This window comes from Homo sapiens, chromosome 7, assembly GCF_000001405.40.
Source record: "Homo sapiens chromosome 7, GRCh38.p14 Primary Assembly".
NCBI lineage: Eukaryota > Metazoa > Chordata > Mammalia > Primates > Hominidae > Homo > Homo sapiens.
Genome location: NC_000007.14, coordinates 55,547,595 through 55,570,492, shown reverse-complemented (window position 1 = coordinate 55,570,492; position 22,898 = coordinate 55,547,595). Strand labels below are relative to the sequence as shown.

General features: G+C 45.0%; 1 protein-coding gene across 11 annotated transcripts in view, besides 7 other annotated features; it reads left to right on the top strand.

Moving 5' to 3' along the window:
* VOPP1 (VOPP1 WW domain binding protein) overlaps window positions 1-22,898 on the top strand; it is a 137,539-nt gene that overhangs the window by 2,010 nt on the left and 112,631 nt on the right. For 2 of the 11 annotated variants that reach the window (XM_011515546.3, NM_001284282.2), the window contains exon 1: window positions 17,727-17,840. The exons of 7 other annotated variants lie outside the window; for them this stretch is intronic. In XM_011515546.3, coding sequence (XP_011513848.1) covers window positions 17,838-17,840 — 3 coding nt within the window. In that variant the 5' untranslated portion in view covers window positions 17,727-17,837. Of the gene's footprint in view, window positions 1-8,441; window positions 8,514-16,605; window positions 16,683-17,726; window positions 17,841-22,898 lie in introns of those variants that run through there. 2 more of the 11 variants (NM_001321244.2, NM_001321248.2) reach the window with 2 other exon arrangements.
* Window positions 1,323-1,617: a silencer, noted in NCBI's record as "tiled region #1113; K562 Repressive non-DNase unmatched - State 7:EnhWF". NCBI's record gives its function as "represses a minimal TATA promoter and a strong SV40 promoter by Sharpr-MPRA in K562 cells {active_cell/tissue: K562}" and the evidence as "EXISTENCE:reporter gene assay evidence [ECO:0000049][PMID:27701403]".
* Window positions 1,765-1,814: a silencer, noted in NCBI's record as "silent region_18189". NCBI's record gives its function as "represses an Ori minimal core promoter by ATAC-STARR-seq in GM12878 lymphoblastoid cells {active_cell/tissue: GM12878}" and the evidence as "EXISTENCE:reporter gene assay evidence [ECO:0000049][PMID:35858748]".
* Window positions 8,442-8,491: an enhancer, noted in NCBI's record as "active region_26038". NCBI's record gives its function as "activates an Ori minimal core promoter by ATAC-STARR-seq in GM12878 lymphoblastoid cells {active_cell/tissue: GM12878}" and the evidence as "EXISTENCE:reporter gene assay evidence [ECO:0000049][PMID:35858748]".
* Window positions 8,522-8,581: an enhancer, noted in NCBI's record as "active region_26037". NCBI's record gives its function as "activates an Ori minimal core promoter by ATAC-STARR-seq in GM12878 lymphoblastoid cells {active_cell/tissue: GM12878}" and the evidence as "EXISTENCE:reporter gene assay evidence [ECO:0000049][PMID:35858748]".
* Window positions 8,662-8,711: an enhancer, noted in NCBI's record as "active region_26036". NCBI's record gives its function as "activates an Ori minimal core promoter by ATAC-STARR-seq in GM12878 lymphoblastoid cells {active_cell/tissue: GM12878}" and the evidence as "EXISTENCE:reporter gene assay evidence [ECO:0000049][PMID:35858748]".
* Window positions 14,716-15,662: an enhancer, noted in NCBI's record as "OCT4-NANOG-H3K27ac-H3K4me1 hESC enhancer chr7:55622524-55623470 (GRCh37/hg19 assembly coordinates)". NCBI's record gives its function as "activates a minimal SCP1, AML or CMV promoter by ChIP-STARR-seq in naive and primed H9 embryonic stem cells {active_cell/tissue: H9 hESC(naive and primed)}" and the evidence as "EXISTENCE:reporter gene assay evidence [ECO:0000049][PMID:30033119]".
* Window positions 22,014-22,063: an enhancer, noted in NCBI's record as "active region_26035". NCBI's record gives its function as "activates an Ori minimal core promoter by ATAC-STARR-seq in GM12878 lymphoblastoid cells {active_cell/tissue: GM12878}" and the evidence as "EXISTENCE:reporter gene assay evidence [ECO:0000049][PMID:35858748]".

Below are 22,898 nucleotides of genomic sequence, written 5' to 3'. Positions count from 1 at the left end.
AGGAATGTATCCTCTTAATAGGAGTTCAGATCATGTCTGCAAAGTTGAAACGACCTTAAAGGCAGAAGTGTGATGTAAAACTGAAACCTAAATGCCTAAGATGATACTTTCACAGTCAAATATTAGATGATTGTTTCAGAGGGGACAGTGTGATGTCACCCACTTTGACATGATGATTATCCTAAGTACCACCACTTTGTGCTGGAGAGGCGTCTCTCTGAGGAGTTAAGGAGATTTCTTCATCATTTATCACATGAAATTTTATGTATGAGATTTATATTTGAGATTTTTTCATCTCTGGTGGGGTGCTCTGATGAATACCTGTGATGCTTCTGAAGTCCTGAATCACATACATGGATGTGCAGTCGTAGGTGTGGAGCATGTGCCATGGCAAATGGCTCTCTTCAGGTTGAGTGCATAAAAGCAACCCAGGGAGCTATTTGGTGGCTTCTGGCTTCTGACTGCCGGCTGCAACCTGGGAAATTTGTCTTTGTTCCTTTGTTCTGCCTGAGCTGGTTTCAGTGTATAAATTTGCCACGTGGTTGATCATAAACCACCTGAAATTAAGGGGTGGCCTTGTGGCAGTGGTGACTCTGTTCCCACCCCCAGCACCCTGGCCCTATCTAGCACCATCCAGAATCTCACATGCGCAGGGGTTTCTGTGTTAGTGAGAGGTCCTTGAGTAGGAAGGGCAATCCAAAGACTGTTTTGAGAAGTGCTTTCCTCCCCTGCCTCACCATCCCTTTGTAGAAATTTACTTACCTGTTAGACATAGAACTGCATATTTATGTTTGCTTACTAAACATTCATAGAGTGCTCCAGGGTAACTGCCAGGCACTGTTCTATAAATGTTACACGTTATCTCATTAATCCTGCTAGCAATTACTTTTATCTTCATTTTTGTTTCAAATGGGAAGTGAACACTTAACACTGCTGTTAAGTGTGAGGGCTTAAGATGCTAACCCAGGCAGTCTGGTTCCAGTGTGTACCCCACCTCGATGCTCTGCTTCCTCTGCCGTCTGCGCACACAGGAACATGTTAGGAATTTGCATGCTCTACATCGCGAGGGCAGTGGTGGCCCTGGAAAGTGTATTCCCCTTAGAAACTCAGTCACCCTTCCTTAGAAAGACCATGTGATTTAGCCTACAAACGGTGGCACTTTGAAGAGTGAAATAGGATGTTGTTAAGAGCTGTGCCTGGACAGTGGGCATCACCAGGACTCTCCTGAGAAACCCTGGTTGTGTTCCCCTCCTGAAGCCCAGGTAGGGCTTCAGGGAGGAACCGGCAGCAGCTGACAGCACCATCCCTCTCCTAGGGAGGCTTCTTGGAAGCTCATTACTGGACTGACCTTTCTTTTCTATTAACTCAGAGTTTCCTGTGAATTACATGCACAGCCAGTGAGGGCCCTGATTTTATCTCCCTCTCCCCTGTTGCTCTGTGCCAGCTGGTTATGATCCAGGGACCCAGGCCACGAATGTGGCAGATTCTAAGGGTGGCTAAGAGTAGGGAACCTCAGAGGCCTTTTTGGTTCATAAAATGCTAAGGTTCTATGCCTTTGTTCCGCCAGCTGGCTGAAGTGAGGTCCTGCAAACAATCCTTACAGGAAGAGTGAAAGTACTAAGCTGTCTCCTAGTAGCCCTGCTGAAGTTATTCTCAGTGGCCTTCACACAGTAACTCCTTAGAAACTAAAAGGAAAAAAAAAGGTTTTAAAACTGACTACACTTCAGTTGAATCCCGAGAGTAATGAGGCCCTAAGCATATGCACCTCCCTGGGGCTTTTTGTTGTGTGCATTGTTTTCTAGATATTGTCACTGCATTCTCTTTCTAGAGGTTTGGTTGGTTACACTTTTGAAATCTACTTAGTATTTGTTTGAAGGGCTCTGTTCTTACTGAAGTGAGCCCAGAAATGTATAGTATGCTATTTAGTGTAAAACTCACCAATACCAGTGCCTCTGCTTCCAAGGAGATAGACTTATTTTAGTTAAGGGACTACTCATTATCTTTCTGATCTTTCCCAGGAACCAAGAGCTGGAAACGCTTAAGCCACGTTGCTTTGTGCTTCAATGCTGTTGGGCAAAAGAACAGATCTTCTTGGACTAGAAAAAGGAACAGTTGTCAGGCTGGGTGCGGTGGCTCATGCCTGTAATCCCGGCACTTTGGGCGAGGCGGGTGGATCACGAGCTCAGGAGATCGAGACCATCCTGGCTAACACGGTGAAAGCCCATCTCTACTAAAAATACAAAAAATTAGCTGGGCGTGGTGGCGGGCGCCTGTAGTCCCAGCTACTCGGGAGGCTGAGCCTGGAGAATGGCGTGAACCCGGGAGGCGGAGCTTGCAGTGAGCGGAGATTGTGCCACTGCACTCCAGCCTGAGCAACAGAGTGAGACTGTCTCAAAAAAAAAAAAAAAAAAGGAATAGTTGTCTCTTAGAGAGGGTTGCAAAGTGGACATTATCTTTGAACTAGGGAAAAATAATAAGATCACTGAGTATTTTTCTGAAGTTCTGTGTATTTTGATGCCTGGGAGTCTGGAAATTAGAACTGAGTTATGTTTAAGAGTGTTTTTTGTCTCTTGCCAAATGTCTTTTGTGCCCTGGAATTCCAACAAATGTGGCAGTCCCTGGCTGCCAATTTCCTGAAATAAACCTTTCAGCCCACCCACTCTTAAGAGTTTTTAGAAACCAGGCAACATGCAATTTGAATGAAAAAGAATCCTGCAGGGAGTTTGCTGTCTCTGGAAACTCCACGGGAGGCCAGGTGGTCATGGGTGAGAAGTGGCAGCAATAAATGAACCGGCTGGCAAGAGCTCTGCTCTGAAGTGGGGAAAGCCTGGGTCCAGGTGTCTGAGGAGGCCTGTGGGCGTTGGGCCCAGACCTGGGGCTTTCCTTGGTTTTTGCTTTCTTTTACTTTGGGCACAGCTATAAAGGCTAACGGAGGGTAAATGACTTAGAAATACATGGCAAGGATAGGATTAGGCTAGTGCTCACTTGATTAGCTCTGCAGGGCAAGGACATTTCCTAGAACTCACTCTATCATGTCCTCTTGATGAAGCTTTTCAGATTTCACCTTCTCAGTGAGGTCTGTCTTGACCACCCTATTTAAAATTTCTTCTCAGTTCTTTCCCTAGTCTACCTTAACTCTGACCAATATCCTCCTTTTCCCATAACTATCTTTAAAATATGACAGAATTTACTTTCTACCATGTAAGCAATTTAGGGGCAAAGGTTTTGCTCTGATTTATTGATTGACATATCCTTAGTTGCTGGAACCATGCCTGGCACAGAGCAGGGACTCGATGGAGACTTGAATGAGTAAAGCCGTCAGTGGTAAGAGCCCTGTGGGCAGGAGCTGAGTAGATGGGCAGTGGGAAAAGAAGAGGCAGTTGATCAGGGGCTGGAGGGCAGCAGAGCACCTCTAGTGATGGAAACCCACTGTGCCTTAAGACAAAGTATCAACTTTTGGGGCAACTTCAGTTGTTAAAGTTTTCTGTAATATTGAGGGGAAATGACAGTATTTTCAGCCTGGTCCTAGGTCTGCACTCATGGGCTTTTCAGAAATATCACAATGACAGGCCCTCAGTCTTCTAACACAGCTGTGTGGTCCCATTTTGTGTGTGTGTTCTTTTCCAGGCCTCACCTTCTGTTGTTTCAAAACATGGTTTTAAATCATCTCACCATCCTCATAGCTGCAGTTTGAAAATTTTGGACTGGATGGTGATGAGGATGTCCTCAATATCTGAAAATAATTGGTCCTAGAAAAAGGCCACTTAGCCATTAATCCATGTGAATCAGGGATCAACATTTCCTAGTCAAAGTGGAAAAAAAGTTCGGTTGGGACTTTATTTTGGAAAAACAAATATCAAATTGTAAACATAAAAGTTAATTTCATCCTGAGTACTCATTTTATTTTATTTTAAATCTATTTATTTATTTAGAGATATGGTCTCCCTCTGTCGCCTAGGCTGGAGTGCAGTGGCATGATCTCGGCTCACTGCAACCTCTTCCTTTTGGGTTCAAGTGATTCTCCTGCCTCAGCCTCCTGAGTAGCTGGGATTACAGGTACACGCTACCACAGCCCAGCTAATTTTTGTATTTTTTTTTCTTTAGTAGAGACGGGGTTTCACCATATTGGTCAGGCTCTGAGTACTCATTTTAGAATGATGAGTCCATTTTGGGGGGACAGTGTAATTTTCCTGACAAAATTCTATAATGCACATAAGACAGTCTTCACTTGATGTTGGACTTCAGTGGCATGATCATAGTGAAAGTTTTTTCCCCAGAATTAGTTGCGCTGGTCTGGAAACTCCCACCACCCCCACCTCCAGCTTCTCTTTGTCCTTTTTATTCATATCATTCTCCTTTGGCCACCTTTTGGTTCATATTAAATGGCTTGACTGCTAGATCTTTTGTCACTTTCATTGGCTTCATGAGCTGCTGCACCTTTGTGAGGTCTGCAGGGCCTGTTTGCTGTCTGTGTGTGGTATTTGGGTTGCACTCTCCTGTGATCTTGGGATCGGAGATTGGTTTTGGATCTGCCAGTGTTAAGTGGGCTGGGGTGAATCCAGTGTTTCTTGTGGTTTGTGCTGAAACCTTTGGTTCCCCTCCAGGTCCTCCCCACTGGCACTTATTGAACAATAGGAAGCTCTGTTCTGTGGGTGTGGTCTGACTGGCAGCATCAAAACCTTTGGCCCTTGTCATTAAGCAGATAAAATTATACTAGTTTATACTAGTGCGTCCTCCCACCTCCACCCCTGCAGCCAGGAGATTCACCCTGAGTTTGCAGTGAGACCGAAATCTTTTTAACATGTGCTGCTGCTAATCCACCACACCTCACAATAGTTGTAGAGCTGTTTATTATTTTTTAAAAACCTAAATTGAGGACTTTACATTGTTTCCAATTTCACATTAATCATTCATCTCATCTACTTAAGCCTATCAACATATGTCTGAACACTATTTTTTAAAATCCAGTGTCCCATATTGTTTTGTACCATGGACCGATTTGATTATACTCCTGTTGGTTTTATCCAACTGATTAACAAACATGTTGAATAGAGCAGAGTCAATTACAGAGATTCTGGGTGGAGTTGGATGACTGAGATTTTGACTTGGAGAGTAAGGATATCCTTAATTTTAAAAAGTCAGAGTTTAATTTTAAATGCTGGTTTTGAAGTGTTTGATGATCTGTCCTTGGTGAAAAGAGATCCAACAAATGAGAGTCTAGAATGCGGGAGGAGGGTGTCTAAACGCGAAGGTGATCTGCATTCAGATACCGTAGAACAGTAGAGAAGAGGCCTTGCAGAAGGCCATCGGATTCGATAATTGGCAAACAGTGACCTTCCCTTGTCAGGGTTAAAGAATCAAATGGTCAATGAAGACAGGGAGGCAGTGACTAATACATATATATATAAAATTTCAGGAAGTACAGCTATATACTTCAAAACTGTCAACAAGAGAACAATGTCCTCAGACCAGAACAAAGAGATATTATCCGGTAAATTAGGTTTGAAATCGATCAATTGCTTGCTTCAAGCATAGGGCATATCTGGTGGTCGTTAGGAGTCACATTTGGATGGTGCCATGACCATGTATTACAGAATCTCAACTCCTTCGGAGTTGCCTGGGAGTCTTTGAGTAAACCTAAGCTCCCACTGACATACACCTGTAAAGAGAAATCCCTCAGTGTTGCTGGAGGCCCTTTGGAAGATTCCCTACTTGGTCTGGAACTTGTGGCCCAGGGTGGATTAACAGAGTATTTATATTGTCAGTCATTCCCAAGCAAGTTTCCTGTGCCCAGGTGGCTGCACACCTGCGGACAGGAGGGAGGGTTTCCTTATCCTGTCGATTAAAAAGTGGGCTTGCTTGTTATTATCTGTGACTAGATTAAGAAGAAACTTTGTCATAAGCGTCCATAGCAAGGGAAAGCAAGATTGTGATTGTGATCATAGTTGGCTCTTAATTTCTGCCCTAGGTAAGACAAAAAAAGGGTCCATAGCCATCTCTTTTGCTAGGATGGTTGAGCAGCTACTCAGGTGACAGCTTGACTTTTAATACTGAGAGGAAAGATGAGTGAAACTCTTTAGCTCTTTAGTTGGCCTCATTCTCTTGGTGTTTTGTGATCTGAGTGTCATCAAGGGCCAAAACATGGCATTATGGAGAGGGTGGGGACAGATCCTAAACCCTTATGGGGAGTGGGGAGAAGAGGAGAGTGAGAGAGAGCAAGCGAGCGAGAGAGAGAGAGAGAGAGAGAGACAGAGACAGAGAGAAAGAGTGTGTTGATGAGATTATTATTGAAGAAGCTCCTAGTTCCTAGTTCCCCCTCCTTCCCTTTAGTTGGAGAGAAAAGCAGCCAGGCCTGCGGTGAGTGAAGCTGTGAAGCCAGGTTCCTATAGCCTAAGGGCAGCTGTGTAAAACAACGTGGGGTTCCCTTAGATTAAATCTCTGCAACCTCTGTTCTTCTCTGCTGCCCTCAAGATAAATTCCAAACACTGTTTTTCCTCCTTAGAATTTCTTCAGGAATTCTCCTTTCTTTCCTTCTCATTTCTTTCCTCCCAAATTGAGCAGCTTTCTCTAGCTCAAAGGTTGTCAAAATTTTGGCTCTTATACTCTTTTAGGGAATTTTCAAAAGCTATATACCCTCTCACATAATTTTAAGTGGAACATACAGGTTAAGCAACCCTAATCTGAAAATCAAAAATCCTAAGTGTTGCAAAATCTGAAACTTTTTGAGTGCCAGTGTGATGTTACAGGTGGAAAATTTCACACCTGACCTTGTGTGACAGATCACAGCCAAAACATTGTTTTGTGCACACAATTATTAAAAATATTGTATAAAATTACCTTCAGGCTATATGTGTAAGATATATATGAACATAAATGAATTTCATCTTTAGACTTGGGTCCCATCCCCAAGATACTTCACTGTGTATATGCAAATGTTCCAAAATCCAAAGAGATGCAAAATCCAAAAACACTTCTGGTCCCAAGCATCTCAGGTAAAGGATACTCAACCTGTGTGATCTTGTTTATCATAGATTTTAAATGGTTACAATAGATTTGATTTCTCATGTATTGTAAACATTGTTAAAAATTCAACTATAATATCACTCTTTTAATGTATTCAGTGGAATCTAAATACCATTAGCAATTTGATACTGATTTTTTTAAAAAACGCAAATAATCTTCTCTAATGGTTGCAAATATAGCATTCCTTTTTTGAATTTCTACTTTATAGAATTTTCTTCTAATAATATATATTTATGCTTGAAAGTCTAGTTTTGATCTGTCGTTTTTTGTAACAAAATCTGTATCGAAATTAATTTTTAAAACATTTCCTCAGATATACCTCCAAAAAATTTAAAAAGACTAATTGATTTATCATTTTTATTGCACATTTGATTGACACTATACATGTATTACCAATTGAATATTATTAAACATAAACAGTAAAATTTACTGGAAATAAATTTCTGAGTGAGATGGACGAGGATATTTCAAGTTAGGGCATGTATAACTGATGGAAATGGAAAAAGTTTCATGTTGAACTTCCGAGTGATGTGCCCAGACCGCATAGTAATCTACAATTAGGTCATCTTTCAATTTAATTGAAAGCAAAGAATTTGAAACCAGTTGAGATGCAAGGCGTGCGTTGACAAAAACTCTCCCCTTGACCAAACTTTGGTTGGGATCCTCTGAGCCCTCTTCTCACTAGGCCTCCACCTTGCCCTCTGTGTCTGTCCTCAGTGGAGCTCAGTTTCAGCAAGAGTCCTGCCAAGTCATCCCCTCACGCTTAATATCTGATCACCTTAGGCTGTCTTCAGCAAGAATTCCTCCTTACTTCTACCCATCATGCCTCTCCTCTTAGCAATTTTGTATCCGTTGACCCCCTCACTCTGCTCCTTGGCTGTGAATTCACACTGATTTTGGTTGTATTTGGAGTTGAGGTCAGTCTGTCTTGCTGTTGTGATAGATTGACCCCTATTGCAATAGTCTTGAATAAAGCCTTACCATTTTTGACAAGTGTCAGAACAATTTCTCTTTAACAGTGTCACTACCAGTATTTTCAGTGGCCTTAGATTGGTACTTGAGAGAGTTTTTTAGTTCTGGACCAGCACATCCCAGTAAGACTAGAAATGGGAGGGAGGTGTGCCTTTCTTTGTAAAGGGAGAGAAGGGTGACTGTAAACGGGGAATTAGCACTGTCACTTGACCAGCATCCGGACCAGGGCCTGTGTCTCAGGCAGTCAGCTTTAGGAAAGCAGACCCATGGAGGTTGAAGGTTTGGAATTCGAGTCCTTTAGCAGTATGGAGGAGCGCCCTTGGAAAGCTTTCAGTATCTACAGAGACCTCCTTGCCATTCTCAGCGTTGGCTGTACATTAGAATGAGGTAGGGAGTTTCGAACAATTACCTGCACCTGGAGCCTAGTCATCTTTATTTTTTAACAGATGCACATTGCTTCTGATGCATAGATGAGGATCAGAAGTCTTCATCCAGTACAGCAGACTGAACCGACTACTGTGGGTCCTGAAGGCACCATACTTTCACTTCCTGTTTTCCCATTCCTTTGACTGCCGTTTCAACTCCCACCATACTTGAAGACCCTCAGGTGGTGTCATGGAAGGCTACTCTCATTGTCCACTTGGGTATGAGTTAAGTCCCCGACTTGGGCAAGCTACTCCCTAGGCAAGCTACTCCCACGTGCTCTGAGCTCAGATACTGTAATTGCTTGTTTGTTTTTTTTTTTTTTTGGAAGAGGGGAGCAGTCTGTGAATTCTTCTTCTTTTTTTTTTTTTTTTTTTCCAGACAGAGTTTTGCTCTGTCACCCAGGCTGGAGTGCAGTGGCATGATCTTGGCTCACTGCAACCTCCGCCTCCCCCTCTCCTGCCTTGGCCTCCTGAGTAGCTGGACATAAGGTGCCCACCAGCACGCCCACTTAATTTTTGTATTTTTAGTAGAGACGGGGTTTCACCATATTGGCTAGGCTGGTCTTGAACTCCTAACCTTGTGATCTGCCCGCCTTGGCCTCCCAGAGAGCTGGGACTACAGGTATGAGTCACCGTGCCCGGCCTGGTCTGTAAATTCTTTAGACCTTAAGCTCCTAGAGGACCTGTTTGTTCCAGAAGGGTTTGGCACAGTGAGGGGGATGGGCTTGGGAGCTTGGGTGTAGAGGTTAGGCTTTGGAAGGGGAGTGGGGATGTGAGGAAGGAGATGAGGAAGGAGGTCATCAAGAGGGAAGGTGCACATAGAGTTGAAGTTCAGTGGGGAAAGGTTGGTGACCTGGGTGGGATGTCAGGAACTTTGCGTTGAAGTAAGCCACAGAGATAAGCTGGGAAGGACCTGGGCCTCCAGGTCATGGTGAAGGTCGCACAGCGGTTGTGGTGAGGGTCCTGGGAAGCTGTGCATGTGCATCTCAGAGCATCCATGGTCGGGGTGCAGAGTGAGCATTTCGGGCAGTCTTGGATACAGCCAGCTGCCCTGACTGGCCCCCTAAGCAGCATGGAAGCAGGGAGGTAGAAGGGTGGCTGCCAGACTGGGGATTGACGCGGGATGGCAGTGCATCATGAGTGAGAGGATTTTGGGGAATTATTGTTATGATGGCTATGTTAGGGTCATTTCTTGAGTGTGTAAAATTAGAAGATGGTTGATGGATTGGAAAATGAACAAGGCATTTGGTAAAAAAGTAGAGGTTGACATGGGAGTGAGGTGAGGGTATGGGACAGGTGCAGAGAAGGGAGAGTGAGGCTACTGGCCTACTAGAGAAGAACTTGCTGTGACCTCTGTGTTCATTACCTGTTGTTGCTATAACAAGTGACTACAAACTTGGTGGCTTAAACCGATCCAGATTTATTATCTTCCCTCTCTGGAGGTCAGAAGTCCTAAATGGCTCTCAGTGGGCTCAATTCAAGAATGTCAGCAGGACCATGTTTCTTCTGGAGGCTCCAGGGAGGATTCATTTCCTGGCCTGTCCCAGCATCTAGGGACTGCCTGTGTTTCTTGGCTGGTGGTCCCTTCCTCCCCTTCAAAGCCAGCGATTCTGTGTCTTCTAATTTCTCTCATGCTTCTCTCTCTCTGTCACTGTAAAGACCCTTGAGATTACATTGGGCCCACCTGAATTACCCAGCATAATCTCCTCATTGTAAGATCCTTAACTTAATCACGTCTGCAAAGCCCCTTTTGCCACCTAAGGTGACATTCCCAGTTCTGTGGATTAGGACGATGACATCTTTGTGGGCAGGAGGTGGCATTACTTTGCTTGCCACAAGGTTGAAAAAAAATGTTGCTTAAAATGGATATTTTAGTGAAATCACTGTTGTAAAGGTTTTTTTTGTTTTCGTTTGTTGTTTGAGACAGAGCCTCACTCTTTTCCCCAGGCCGGAGTGCAGTGGCATGATCTTGGCTCACTACAACCTCTGCCTCCCAGGTTCAAGTGATTCTCCCGCCTCAGCCTCCCAAGTAGCGGGGACTACAGGCGTGCGCCACCATCCCCAGCTAATTTTTGTATTTTTAGTGGAGATGGGGTTTCACCATGTTGGCCAGGCTGGTCTGGAACTCCTGACCTCAGGTGATCGCCTGCCACGGCCTCGTGCGGTGCTGGGATTACAGGCATGAGACACTGCGCCTGGCCAGTAAAGGTTTTTATACTCCATTGCCACGTTCTGAGGTTCTTCTGTGGGGCTGACATGGGCAGTGGAGTGAATGAGAACTTGCCGGTTCCACTGCATGTGCCCTGGGTTGGGATGGAGTCATTAACATAGGTTGTAGGTCTGTTTTATGCTTTGAGTTCTTGGTGGAATGACTCAGGAAAAATATGTATTGGTTTTATTAATAGCTAGTCACCCCAGTGGAAGCTGAGATTCATCTCTGACTTTCTGAATTGCATGAGAAGTTAAATCGCAGATAGGGAGAAGGCTTTCTCTCATAATGAGAGCCTTGGACAAATTGAGATCACAGGTTACTTGATACAATTGATGCTTTTATCACTTCCTGGCAGAAAAGGAGCTGGACTTCAAAATCACGACATCTGGGCCCTGGTCAGCTGAGCCAGGCATTAGAGTCCTTCCACTGTGGTGGCCTGTTGGTCGGCCCAATGGCACGGTCAGCGGCTGCTCTCAGGGGCTTGCTAATGGGCAGTGCTCACCTTCCTCCATAAGATGGGAAGGGTAGGCATCCTAATTAGGAGTCTCTGGTCCCTTTCTGAGTGTCAGCATGACCTAGTGATGTATTCAGAGAAGCTGCCAAGAGTGGAAGTGGATTTATTTAGTGATGATTGTCACCACTAGAATCAGTACCTTTTTAAACTCCACCCTGTTTATCTGAATTCAGTTGTGTGTATGGTTCTTGTTTTGATGGATGGCTCAGGCTCCCATTGAAGCCATCAGAGGCTCCCTCTGATGATGAGGGAGCAGACTAAAAAACCGTTACTATCCACTGGATACTTAGTGACTTATATATAGCTCAAGTTGTTTGCAAAGCTTTGGGCACAAATAAAATTAATATAATTAGGTCTTCAGAAGGAAATGCAGGATGGTATTAAACTTTTCAGTGAGGCTATCTTGTCGCTAACCTTGAACACTGACCTTTCCTTTGCTTTCTTCTTTGGTTTTTAGCAACTCTGCGTTATTATTGCTGAAGAGGGCTCAGAACACTAAAATAGCTCTTTGTCAGTCAGCTTTACTAATGATAATGATGCCAGGGTTTGGTGTTCACCCTGTAGCCATGCTGTGTTTGAGGCTGTATGTAGTCTGAAGTTTTTACTCTGTCTTTTGGGTCTTTGTCTGCAAGGAGCCTGGGGTTGGACATGGATGGATGGGTGGGTGGATCTGGGAAGTGAAGAGACTTTACAGCACCTGACACAGCACAGTAGCCTCTGGACAGGGATGCCTGGGCTCTCTGGAGGCTGAGCAGAGATGATTGGAATTGGCATTAGCAGGGTGTCTCTGGGGTGGCAGGGTCCTCTCCCCGATTAAAGCATCATCTGTCACCCCTGCAGGTGTGCACACCTGAACAGGTTAGCAGGTGAGAAACACATTATTTGTATGAGTTTTCATTTAGTTGTCTGATGGAAGTTTAAGGAACATATTAAAAATATGAAGGATATTCTTTTTCTTAAAATTCATTCTTTTGTATTTAATTTTTTTTGACATACAACAAGCTGAACATAATTAATGTATACAGCTTGATGAGTTTGGAGATAAGCATGCACCTATGAAACCACCTCCACAATTTATGCCATAAGCCTCTAAAAGTTTCCTCCTGCTGTCTGGTTATTATTATTATTATTATTGTGTGTCATAAGGTCTACCCCTTAGCAGATTTCTAAGTACACAGTAGAGTAGTGTTAACTGCAGGACCTCTGTGGCACAGCAGCCCTCTAGGACTCACTGATTTGCATAACTGAAACTTTGTACTTTTTGACAAATACCTAATTTCCCCTCCTCCCAACCCCACGCAACGCCATTCCACCCTCTGTTGAAGGGTTTTCTTGTCTGTCTGTACTTGCAATGCCCCACAGAGTACTTACTAAACCGCATATTGATTAGAACGTCTTTGGCCCTCAGTGATAGGAAACCCAATTCAAGTAGTGCAGACTTGGAGGAAGTTCATTATCTGGCATGGTTAGGAGTCCTCCTGTTGGAGGCCCCGGGCCTGAGTTGTTCAGAGGCTCTACACACCCTCTCATTTGCTCCACCTTCCATTCTGCCATTCTCTGCGGACGGTCCTGCCCTTGTGGTTGTGTGTAGGTTGCAGCAGCTCCTTACAAAATGCAAATCAGTCAGCATCCAGCATGTCTTTCTTATGTATGTGTTTTGTTCTGTTGTGGCTGGGCAGAGTTACTTGGCCCCTTCCTTTTCCCATCCCCACAATATTCCAGTATTTTCTAATGGGGCACTCATTTTGGGTGGGGTTGGTGTTAGATGGGTCCTGAAGAATCGGAATTTTCAGATTGGAAGTCAAGCCAACGATTGAAATATAAACAGACATAAGAGCCTTCTTGCTAGCATATGGGGTTTTTTTAAGTCCTTTTTTTTTTTTTGAAACATCTTATGTTTGAGTATTTTTTTAAAACTTTCCAACCTTATTTTATTTCTCCAGATGATGGTGGCAATGTGATAACCAGCACTTAGCAGGTGCTTGTTGTGTGGCAGCATTGTTTTAAGTAAGCACATGGTGTTTCATCTGTGCAGCCTTCCCACCCCTGCCCCAGGCTCCGTGCTGCCCTCCTGTCCATTTTGCAGATGAGTGGACTGTGGCTCAGGAGACTGGGGCTTTCTCAAGATTTTCTGCAGTCGGACCTAGCATTCAAACCTCAGCAGATTGACTTGCCAACCTAAAATAATGAAAGGGGTCAGAATATGATTTAAAGAGCATTTAAATAAGTACAAAGTGTGAGGTAGGCCACCCAGAAACACCAACTCCGAAGAAATGGAGTCAGTTTTCCGAAGTAGGAAGTGAAGGCTTCATTTATGTGGGCTGAGACAGTGGAGTTTTTAGCAGGATTACAACATTATTCATACAAGGTTGGTGTGTATGTTATAGCAATTTGATTGGCTCTAGGTGATGTTTCTTTTTGGGGAGGGGATATTTAACATTTTCTTAACAGAGGGTGTAATAGTCCTGGGTTTTCTTTCACCTGGTCTAAGCGAAGCAGGGCAATGAAGGGGGAGTTAATCTACAACAAGGGTCATTAATTCAGAGGGCGGGAGGCTTTTGACCCTGACATGGTTTCCCTTTAGTCAATGTACAGAGCAAGAAAAAGAAGAAAATGAGTTATCTATAATCTGAGAAACATAAATTGTAACCATATGTGACTCAGATCACAGTCACATTTCTCTCAAAGCTTGAAGTGTTTTGGGGGGGGGTTCCAACAGCTTTTAGGTTTATTTGTTTTCACAGACTTCAGAGTATGTTCTTAAAGCCCCAATGTGTGAAGTTTATATAATCATAGCATTTTTCTCTTTGAGGTTCCATCATGGCCTGTCGTGGAGGGAGTTCCTGTTGCTGGTTCACGTTATGCATTTTGGTTATTAAGAGACTGAGAAACTCCATCATGTTATCCTAAGTAATGTGTCTTTATTATAAATAGAATGTGGAAATTTGGAAGATGAGAATTTTGGCTCATGGAATCCAGAAGTGGATGAACAGGTTTGCGAACTGGAGGATGGCTTAGAAAGGAACTGGCAAGGCTCACTGTGGCCTTGAGACCTGGTGGAATGAGTCAGGGTCATTGTCCTGCTGGGCTGAACCCCTGTCTCTCCCACCTCCTCCTGCCTTGCTAGGTAGCCTGCACTCACCCAGTCCTTTGTGGCAGGCTGGGCTCAGAAGGTCTCAGAGGAAGCTCAGCAGGTGGCTGGGAGAGAGCAGAGGCTGCCCTTAGGGACACTAGGTGAGTGCAGCAGCTTTCTGTTTCATACATTGAGTGCTTGGGGCCCCTCATAGGTAAGCAGCAGAGGGGCTTCCAGCACATACCCATGTTCTCATTATCATATACAGGTTATTAGAGAGGCGAAATCTACGGGGAAACATCTTAGAACACATGGAAAAGAAAACAAGTGAGTTTTGCTGATGGCTATTGGGGTTATTCATTCGTTTATATTTATTTGCTTTGTGCTGTGTTCATCAGCAGAGCTCACTGAAGGGAGTCCAGCATAAGCAGTCTCTATGATACTGCAGTCCCCGAAAGGTTTTTGTAAGCAGGAACTATGTGAGCAAAATTTAGTTTATTGTTTCAAAATTCTCATAAAGAATTATGTTCCCAGCAGAGCCTCCTGCTGTGTCAGTGGTAATTGATGACTACTACCGTTTTCAATAATAATGAGGTATGCACTAGCGAAATGAAGAGGAGCCCATGCCTGAGGAGCTCTTGATACTTAGGAAAAGGAGAAGGGCTGCTTAGAACAATACCCTGGACCCAAATGGCATGACCACTAAGAGCTGGATCTTATCTGGCACCTAAAAGGTGCTGGGCAGTGTCCTAGTGGTTACCCCCACTGTGTCCCTCATGGTAGCCCTGGAAGCTACATGTTGCCGCTCATTTTACAGATTCACAAAGTGAGGTTGAGAAGTTAAGGGATTTAGCAAAGGTCATCTGTGCGGTGAAAAGAGGCAGTAGTTGTTCTTTCCAGCTTTCACATGTGCGGAAATGGTAGTGCTGAAAGTGAGCGATTGTCATGCAGTCTGCTTCCCTGGGGCCAGCGATTGAGCTGGGGGGTGGTCGGGAGGGCAAGCTGTCCATGCAGAGCACCCTCCCTCTCCTGTCGCTTCCCCCTTCAGGCTTTGGTCCCTGTCCTATGCTTTGCTTCCATCTCTCCTTTTCCCTCCACTACTTCTCCAAGTTCTACAGGCAGATTGGAAATTTATTTTAAGACTGGTTCCTTTTTAAAAAGTATATTTCTCTATGTAACTTAAGTTTCTGATGGATTTTTCTTGTGGCCTAGAGGCATGATTCATTGTAGTGGTTTAATTTGTAAACAGCACCTTTCACCTGATTTTCTCCTTCGGGAGATGCGGCAAAAAGCAGCCACCTTGGAAGCTTTCCTTCTCCATTCCCAGACCCTCATCTCAGCCTCAGATGCTGATGTCTCCTGCGCTTGGGTGAGGTCTTCCTCCTCTCCTCATTCTGCGAAAAATCCTGGGGAATCTCATCTACATCTAAATCTTCAATGACAGTTGTTTATGTGAATGTCTCCAAAATCTATATTTCTGGTCCAAGAATTCCCTGCTGAGCTCCAGCCCCTATCGACCCAGTTGTCTAACAGAGACCTCCTCCAGGGTGGCCCAGAGGCCTCAGACAGTGTATCTGAAGCAGAGCTCACCCTTTCCCCAAAGCTCCGCCCATTGGTTCTGTGTCAGTCCATGGCACTGCCTCCCATCCAGGACAGTGCTCCAGAAACCTCACCATCCCTACATCCTCGGCAACCCAAGTTCTGCAATTTTTTACTCAAAGTTTCTAGAATGTGCCTCTCCCAGGCCCCGTTTTCTCTATTCCTGACTCAGTCCAGGCCATTTTCCTCGTGTACAGTCCTTGGGATGTTTCTTCTCCATTCTGCCCATGTGAGCTTTTGAAACCTTTGTCTGATCTGTTACTTTTCTTCTTGAAATCCACTAATGGTACCCTATTGGCCTATGGGAAAAATTCCAGCCACCCTCAAGTTAGTTCCCAGTGCTCTTCAGTGCCCTGTGAGATCCTGGATGGAACGAGATAGACCTGCCCTCTCCTGACCTTGGCAACTCCACAGCCCTTGCCCTGAACCAGGTGCTGTATTAGATAAGGAGGCAGCAGGCATCACACATGTGTAACCTTGTTTCATTTTAGGATTGACCAGCCACTTGGAAAGTTTTAGGGACTATCTCTCAATAAGAGATAAAACTCTTACTGGCATACCTCTCTGTCTCTCTTCTTTACCAGTAATCACAATTTTGGATAAGCTTTTGCATTTTGGCAACCATGAAGGATGGTAAGTAAAGAGGTCTAATATCGTAAGTCTTGAGCAGGGCAGGTAGCAGCTACGGTTGCCATGATGGATCCCTCCAGGACATGCCTTCCTCAGCATGGTCTTTGTAAATGTTGTCCCCTGAGTTGTGCAGTGCAAGCCTGTGCAGCTGAACAGGAGAGACTTGGGAGCAGCCCTGCTGTGCGGCTGCAATCTGAAAGGAAATGATGCCTCGTTGCTAGGCCTAGGAAGAGGGTGAGTGTGTGTGTGTGTGTGTGTGTGTGTGTGTGTGTGTGTGTGTGTGTGTGTAGAGTGCAGGGGAAGGGAGCACAGAGATATCAGGGGAACCAGGTCTTGAGGACGGAGCTCTTTATCTGGGATGTGATGGAAGGAAGCAGTCGTGGTGTTTGTGTGGTAGGGGTGGGGTGGGGTTGCAGGGATTGAGGTCAGGGAGTGGGGGCTTCTGGAAGGGTTGAGAAAAGTATTTACTTTTGACCCCTAATTTGTATCATTGGTTTCGTTAAGGGATATATTTAAATGAAAACCAGAAATGTTAGGCCTAGATCTATCATCTAAATAATATTTATTTTATGGTAAATGAATTGGAGTTTACAGCCAAGCCTAGTGACCTTTGGGTCTGCAACATGGGAAAACAGCCCGTTGCTCCCCAGGCTAGTCTTTTTATTTTCCTCACTCTGGGAAGCAGTCCCCTTAAAGAGGTTTTTACTGGTGACTCCTCCCAAGTACTGCAAAAGTAGAAATGAAAATTTCTCCCCAATAAAATCCTGTTAGGTGTTGGAACTAAAATATGAATCTAAAATATAAAAATAGCCTGTATAACAGAGGAACTGCAGCTCCTTTCCAACAATGCCTCCTGCTAGGGCAACACATATATTGGAAATGAGATTATGAGATATAATTAACTTGTCTGCCTATACTGTTACTCTTTGAATGTTTCCAAGTTTATTTTAGGAAGATTGACAGTCATAATTATATTGTCAAGCATTTGTCATTTTTGCTGTAGCAATAACACTGAAACTCAGACAAAAAGCTCCCACCTGACTTTGATTGGAATGGTGCAGCAGACAGATTTCGGTTGCATGTCTTTTCCTACAGCGCCTTAGCATTTGTCAGCAATTTGCAGCTAGCAGCACGTATAATTTTTTCTTCGGGTTCAGGAGTTTAGTCTAGGAGGAAATCCTGTTGTGTTGCCATAGTGCTCCGTCACCTTTCTGGGTTGAGCATGGCTGAGTGACTCAGCCCATGGGAGGTTTCCTAGGAGAACAGGCTCCACTTGCTGCCTCTCTGCGTGAACTCCGTGTGCCGGCAACCTGGCGACCAGACTCCTGCCTTCGGAGGGGCTGGGGCTCCAGGACCTGAGTGCCCCCCATTGTTGGAAGGCGGTGTCATATGGTAGGAAAAGGGCAACTTTGGAGCCACACAGACCTGGTTCCAGCACTTTCTTTTGAGGCATCAATCACTTAGCGTTTTCCTAGACTTCATTTGTCACCCTGGGAAAATCATGCTTGTGTTGCTGGGCATGTGTAAGCATGGAGATCCATCCTGTGTGAGTGTGTAGGTCTGAAAAATAATGGGTGTCTAATAAGGGGTAGCTGGCATCCTTAATATGTGTCATCTGCTTTCTGATAGAGGCAGCCATTTGATTTAAGACAGAAATGGGAAACTATTTCCCACCCCATTCCTATGAAGAGAACAGCATTTTGCGATAGTCTGAGCTTCTTGGGAGGAGAGGCATTTTGTACGGAGGTTTTAAAATCAGCTAAATTACCTTCTTTCTGTCATTGCTATTTCTAAATCCAAAAGGTGCTTATATTTGTCCATCTTACCCAGTCCCTCAGTGGACTGCCTTGCCCATGCAGTGCATGTTAATAACTAGCAGAGGCACAGACCTCAACCCTTGTAGGCCCACTGCTTCCTTTTCCACAGGGTCACTGGTCCCTGACCTGGCTAACCTGGCTCCCAGGGCTTTCCCTCCACCTCCACACCTTGTCAACACCTTTTTTTTTTTTTTTTTTTTTTTTTTGGACACAGTCTCACTCTTGTTGCCCAGGCTGCAGGGTCACTGCAACCTCTGCCTCCTAGGTTCAAGCGATTCTCATGCCTCAGACCCCCAAGTAGCTGCAACTATAGGCATGCGCCACCATGTGTGGCTAATTTTTGTATTTTTAGTAGAGACGGGGATTCACCATGTTGGCCCGGCTGGTCTCAAACTGCTGATCTCAAGTGATCCACGCTCCTGGGCCTCCCAAAGTGCTGGGATTACAGGCGTGAGCCACCCCGCCCAGCCTTCAACATGTATTTTGTATTTGATAATTTCCTCCTTCAGATTTTTTCTGCTTTCCCTCCCACTGCGTGTAAGATGAAAGAGAGGCCCTCTTCCTCCACCTCAGCCCTGACCGTGTTGAACCCTTCCCCACTTGGAGTTTCTTTCCCTTTTTCCTAAGGGAAGGGGGAAAAACAAGGTGACCTTTTCCATTTCTAGAAATGGAAAAACTAGACCAGAGCTTATTGACAGATTTCCTGAGGGAAAGAAACACCAAGTGTTTGTGCATTTAATTATTTGCGTCTGATGGGAGAATTGACTTTCGAGGCATGCTTTGGGGAGCACTCAGAACCCGATTTTGAAGGGAAAGCATTTTGTGCTGTTTCAGCCCTGCTGGACGTATTTGCCAGCACAGGTGTACGGTGTGCACGTGGGGTTCTGGTGCTCCACGCCCTAACATTCCAGGACATTGCTTTGATGTCAGTGAAAACTTCCATTGACTCTAGGAGTGATGAAACAGCAGCAAGCATGGCAAATAGGTTTATTTCACATGAAGCCTTGCTTGTCTTCTTGGTAGCGACAGCCTGGAGTGCCTTGCTGTAGAGAAGTCTGGAAGAATGCTATGGCTGATGAGGGAAGTTATGTCTGCGGGATGGTAGGGCTCATGGTTTGTTGTTTTCTCTGCATAACAGGGAGATAATTTGCCAACCCAACCAGAGCACTCAGTGTCTTCATGCTGTCATGTGCCCCTTCGCCTGTCACCATGCCCTTCCCTCTTCTCGGGCTGTCCTGTGTGTCTCTTAGTTCTCATTTTAGATACAGCCTTCTCCAGGAAGCCTGCCCTGATTCCTTCAAGCCAGTGTAGCCTCTGACTCTAAAATTTAATTGCTTTATTATGAAAATAAGCCTAATGCATTCTAATTGTGGAATAATTGGAAAGTAGAAAAATATACAGACACGAAAATAGGTCATGTTTTCCTTCCAGCCATTTTCTGCGCAATTTTCATACACTGGTCGTTAACATATACTCAATAGTGCATCCTTCTGTCACGAGCATTTCCATTCCGTTAAAAATTACCCATCAGCCTGTTAGCGGCTGTATAATCCTTCGCGATAGGGCTAATGGTGGACTCGCGAGTGCCCCTGACATTGAGTATTTAATTTGTTCCCGTTTTTATATATTGTAAGAATGCTGAAATGAACATCTTTGTACATTTTGGACTTTTTTAAAGGATGGATTTCTAGAAATAGAATGCCTAGACCGGAGCTTACTGACAGATTTAAAGACATCTGATATATATTTCCAGACTGCAAACTTTCAGAAAGCTTTTTTCAAACCAAATTTATATTCCCTCCAGCAGTGTACGAGACCATGGAGTTAAATATTCTATCATTGTTTCTTAGGGCAAAAATAAGTGTTGCCTGTGTTACAAGGTTTGGATCTTCGCCCTTATTTATGTACACTTAGGTACGTTTGTTTACAATCTGTGTTGGCAGATTTTCTCTCCAGAGGGTGGCACCTGCCAGACTGCGGCACCTAGTGGCTGCTGTTGGGCTGGTGTCGCACCTTCGGCTTTTATGGCGGCTTTATTGCTATTCCAGGAAGTGGATTCTGCCAGGAGTCCTTGGACTGATGCAGTGAAGGAAATGCTGTTCCTTTTCCCAGGCGCTGGCATTTCCAGGACCCTCCCTTGTTCTGGGGAGTAGCGCCTGTGCACGGCTGTGCAGTCCCCTTGGCCCGGCCTGTGGTGGCACTCAGGCTATCATGCTGAGGAGAGGCCTGGCTCATGAAGTGGATGACCAGGGACTGTTGGTTTTCCTGGTCCGGGTAGGCAGTCTCTGCAGTGACCATGATGGGGATGGGGGTGGGAAAAAGTCTTTTTCCAAGCAAGATTTGAGAGCACCGCTCATGGAGGAGGGGAGCAATGGCATTTTAATATGTGAGATTTTTGTAAAGGGGGATCTCTTGTAGAATGTGTGCATACTCTCTTGTATGGAAAGAAGGAGGTGTTCTTTGTCTAAGTGGATGTGTGCCTAGAACGTACTGTTTGGGGAAAGGATGTAGATGAGCTTAGATGAGCTTCTGCTCATTGCAGGTGCTTCCTCCGCTTGTTTCTGTTCCCAGGGTAACTGCCCAGGGCCCAAGGTACACGGCTGGTCGCACTGCAGAGTGTCCGCCAGTGTGTCCTGCTCCTGCCGGCCACCTGCAGCAGATGGCTGAATGTGGAGCAGAGCCTTTTTTTGACAGTGGAGAAAGGGAAAAGGTCTCTGTGAAAGATTGAGGTCTGGTTCAGTCTCAGTCGCAGAAGCAGTGTTTCAGGTTCACTTGGTTCTTCAGCTTTTGTCCAGACTCCAGACTGGCTACGGATTTGGGGGTCTTAGGAGAAATTAAGCCATGGGCCCGTGCATGTGCCATCAGTCTGCCTAGTTCAAGGGAGTCTGTATGCCTGATCGTGAGGGCCACTTGCCCTGAGAGAAGGGCAGATTATTGGGAAGCTTAGACCCCTTGTTCATCTTTTTGCCCCATGACTGTCTATGTAAATGGCCCTTGGATGCTTTCAGTGTTTTGGAGTGGTTTATGATTAACTGGTCCTATCTCCCCTGTCGAACCTTTAGGTAATTTAGGCGCATTTGGAGTACCTGGTCTCTAGCTGCCTGGACTGCCCATTGTCTGTTGGCAAGCCTCTTGGAGTGTTGTTTTCACTGCTAGACACGCCCCTACCTGTTTTTCCCCTGTGTTTAAATCTCCCAACTTCCATGCCTCATAGGTGGGTCTGCCCTCAGGCCCCGTGCCTCCAGATGGCCAGTCTCACTGTGGTCACCCTGGGCTCTTCCTAGATATAAATGATGATAAAACAACATCCCCCCAGGGTGGATTTTGTTGGGTTTGGGAAATGCTGGGATCTCATGATCCTGCAATGCCTGTTATAGAACCCAGTTGCTTGCCAGTTTTCTTTCATCTTTCGTCTACTTATAATCTACAGAGCAAGAGTGCTGGTGATTATGGACTATATTTCCCAGATTTCTGAATGTAGTCCTGGGCCAAGAGGAATGTGGTAAACCCAAGCACAAGGCTAGTAAAAGTAAAGATGGTTAGAGTCCCTTAGAAAGTGTGCATGAAAGAGAGCTTTGTACTCCCCAGTAGCAGGCGTGTTCACCCACACCCATGCATCTTGCTGGATGGCCTGCATAGAGCAGACAGCATGTTTGGGAGTGTGGGACTCATCTGAATGCTAAGTAAGGAGTAGCTTTGCCTCTCATGGAACGAATGCAGGTCCCTGTAAGTGAGGACAGATATGCATCCCAGCTCTAATGTGAGAAAACAGGAAGGTAAGCCAGGGATCCCCCGGGGTATCCCCGAGTCCGGAGGGGCAGAGGGCGGAGCCTCTGAGGACCAGGCGGTCAGCCACTGCTCTTCTCAAATTAGTCATTGGGGTCTGCTGGGAGGAGGGGAAGACACAGGCAGCATAAACCTGGCAGATCTTCCTGGAGCCCCCATTTTACTTGACATGTTTAGGGGTTGGGGGTTAAAGGCAACCTTTTAATTGATAATTGAAAACATTATGTGTGAAATTTAATGCAAATATATAATGGAGTAGAATACAACATGTGTAAACGAAATAGAATGCAAGGGCGTGAACTTCTAAGGTAAAGCTTGGGATGTCAGACAAATTTTGCATCCCACTGAGTGTCATTTAAGACCACATCTCCATTCACCTGCCTCCCATTCCCAGAATCTGCGGTCACGGTCTTAGGTGGCTGTCGGGGTATTTTGGTGGAAATTTTTAGAAAGCCCTTGGAGGGGAATCAAACAGGTGACTGAAACTGCTGGTGTGCTTTTAAGAGAAGTTGGAAGAAGAGACATTCTCTGTGCACAGGGTAGTAAATGCACATGCCTGCAGGCTCAGGGCACAGCCTGCCCAGCCACATCTACTAGGGAGTGATGGGAAGTGTGGTAAAATGGAAAAGATCTTGCTGTGTGAAAGATATGGCGGGGAAGAGGGAACCAGGCACCACTCAGGTCTAGCTGATGGTTAATGAGTCTTTGGATTTTTCAGGAAAAATTGAATATCTAGATTTTGTGTAAAGTTTCTTTATCTCAAAGCTATCATGGGCCAAACAAAACATGTCTATTGGTAGCTAGTAGGAGACGATCATTCCCAACTCAACTGGTTTGTTAGTCAAGT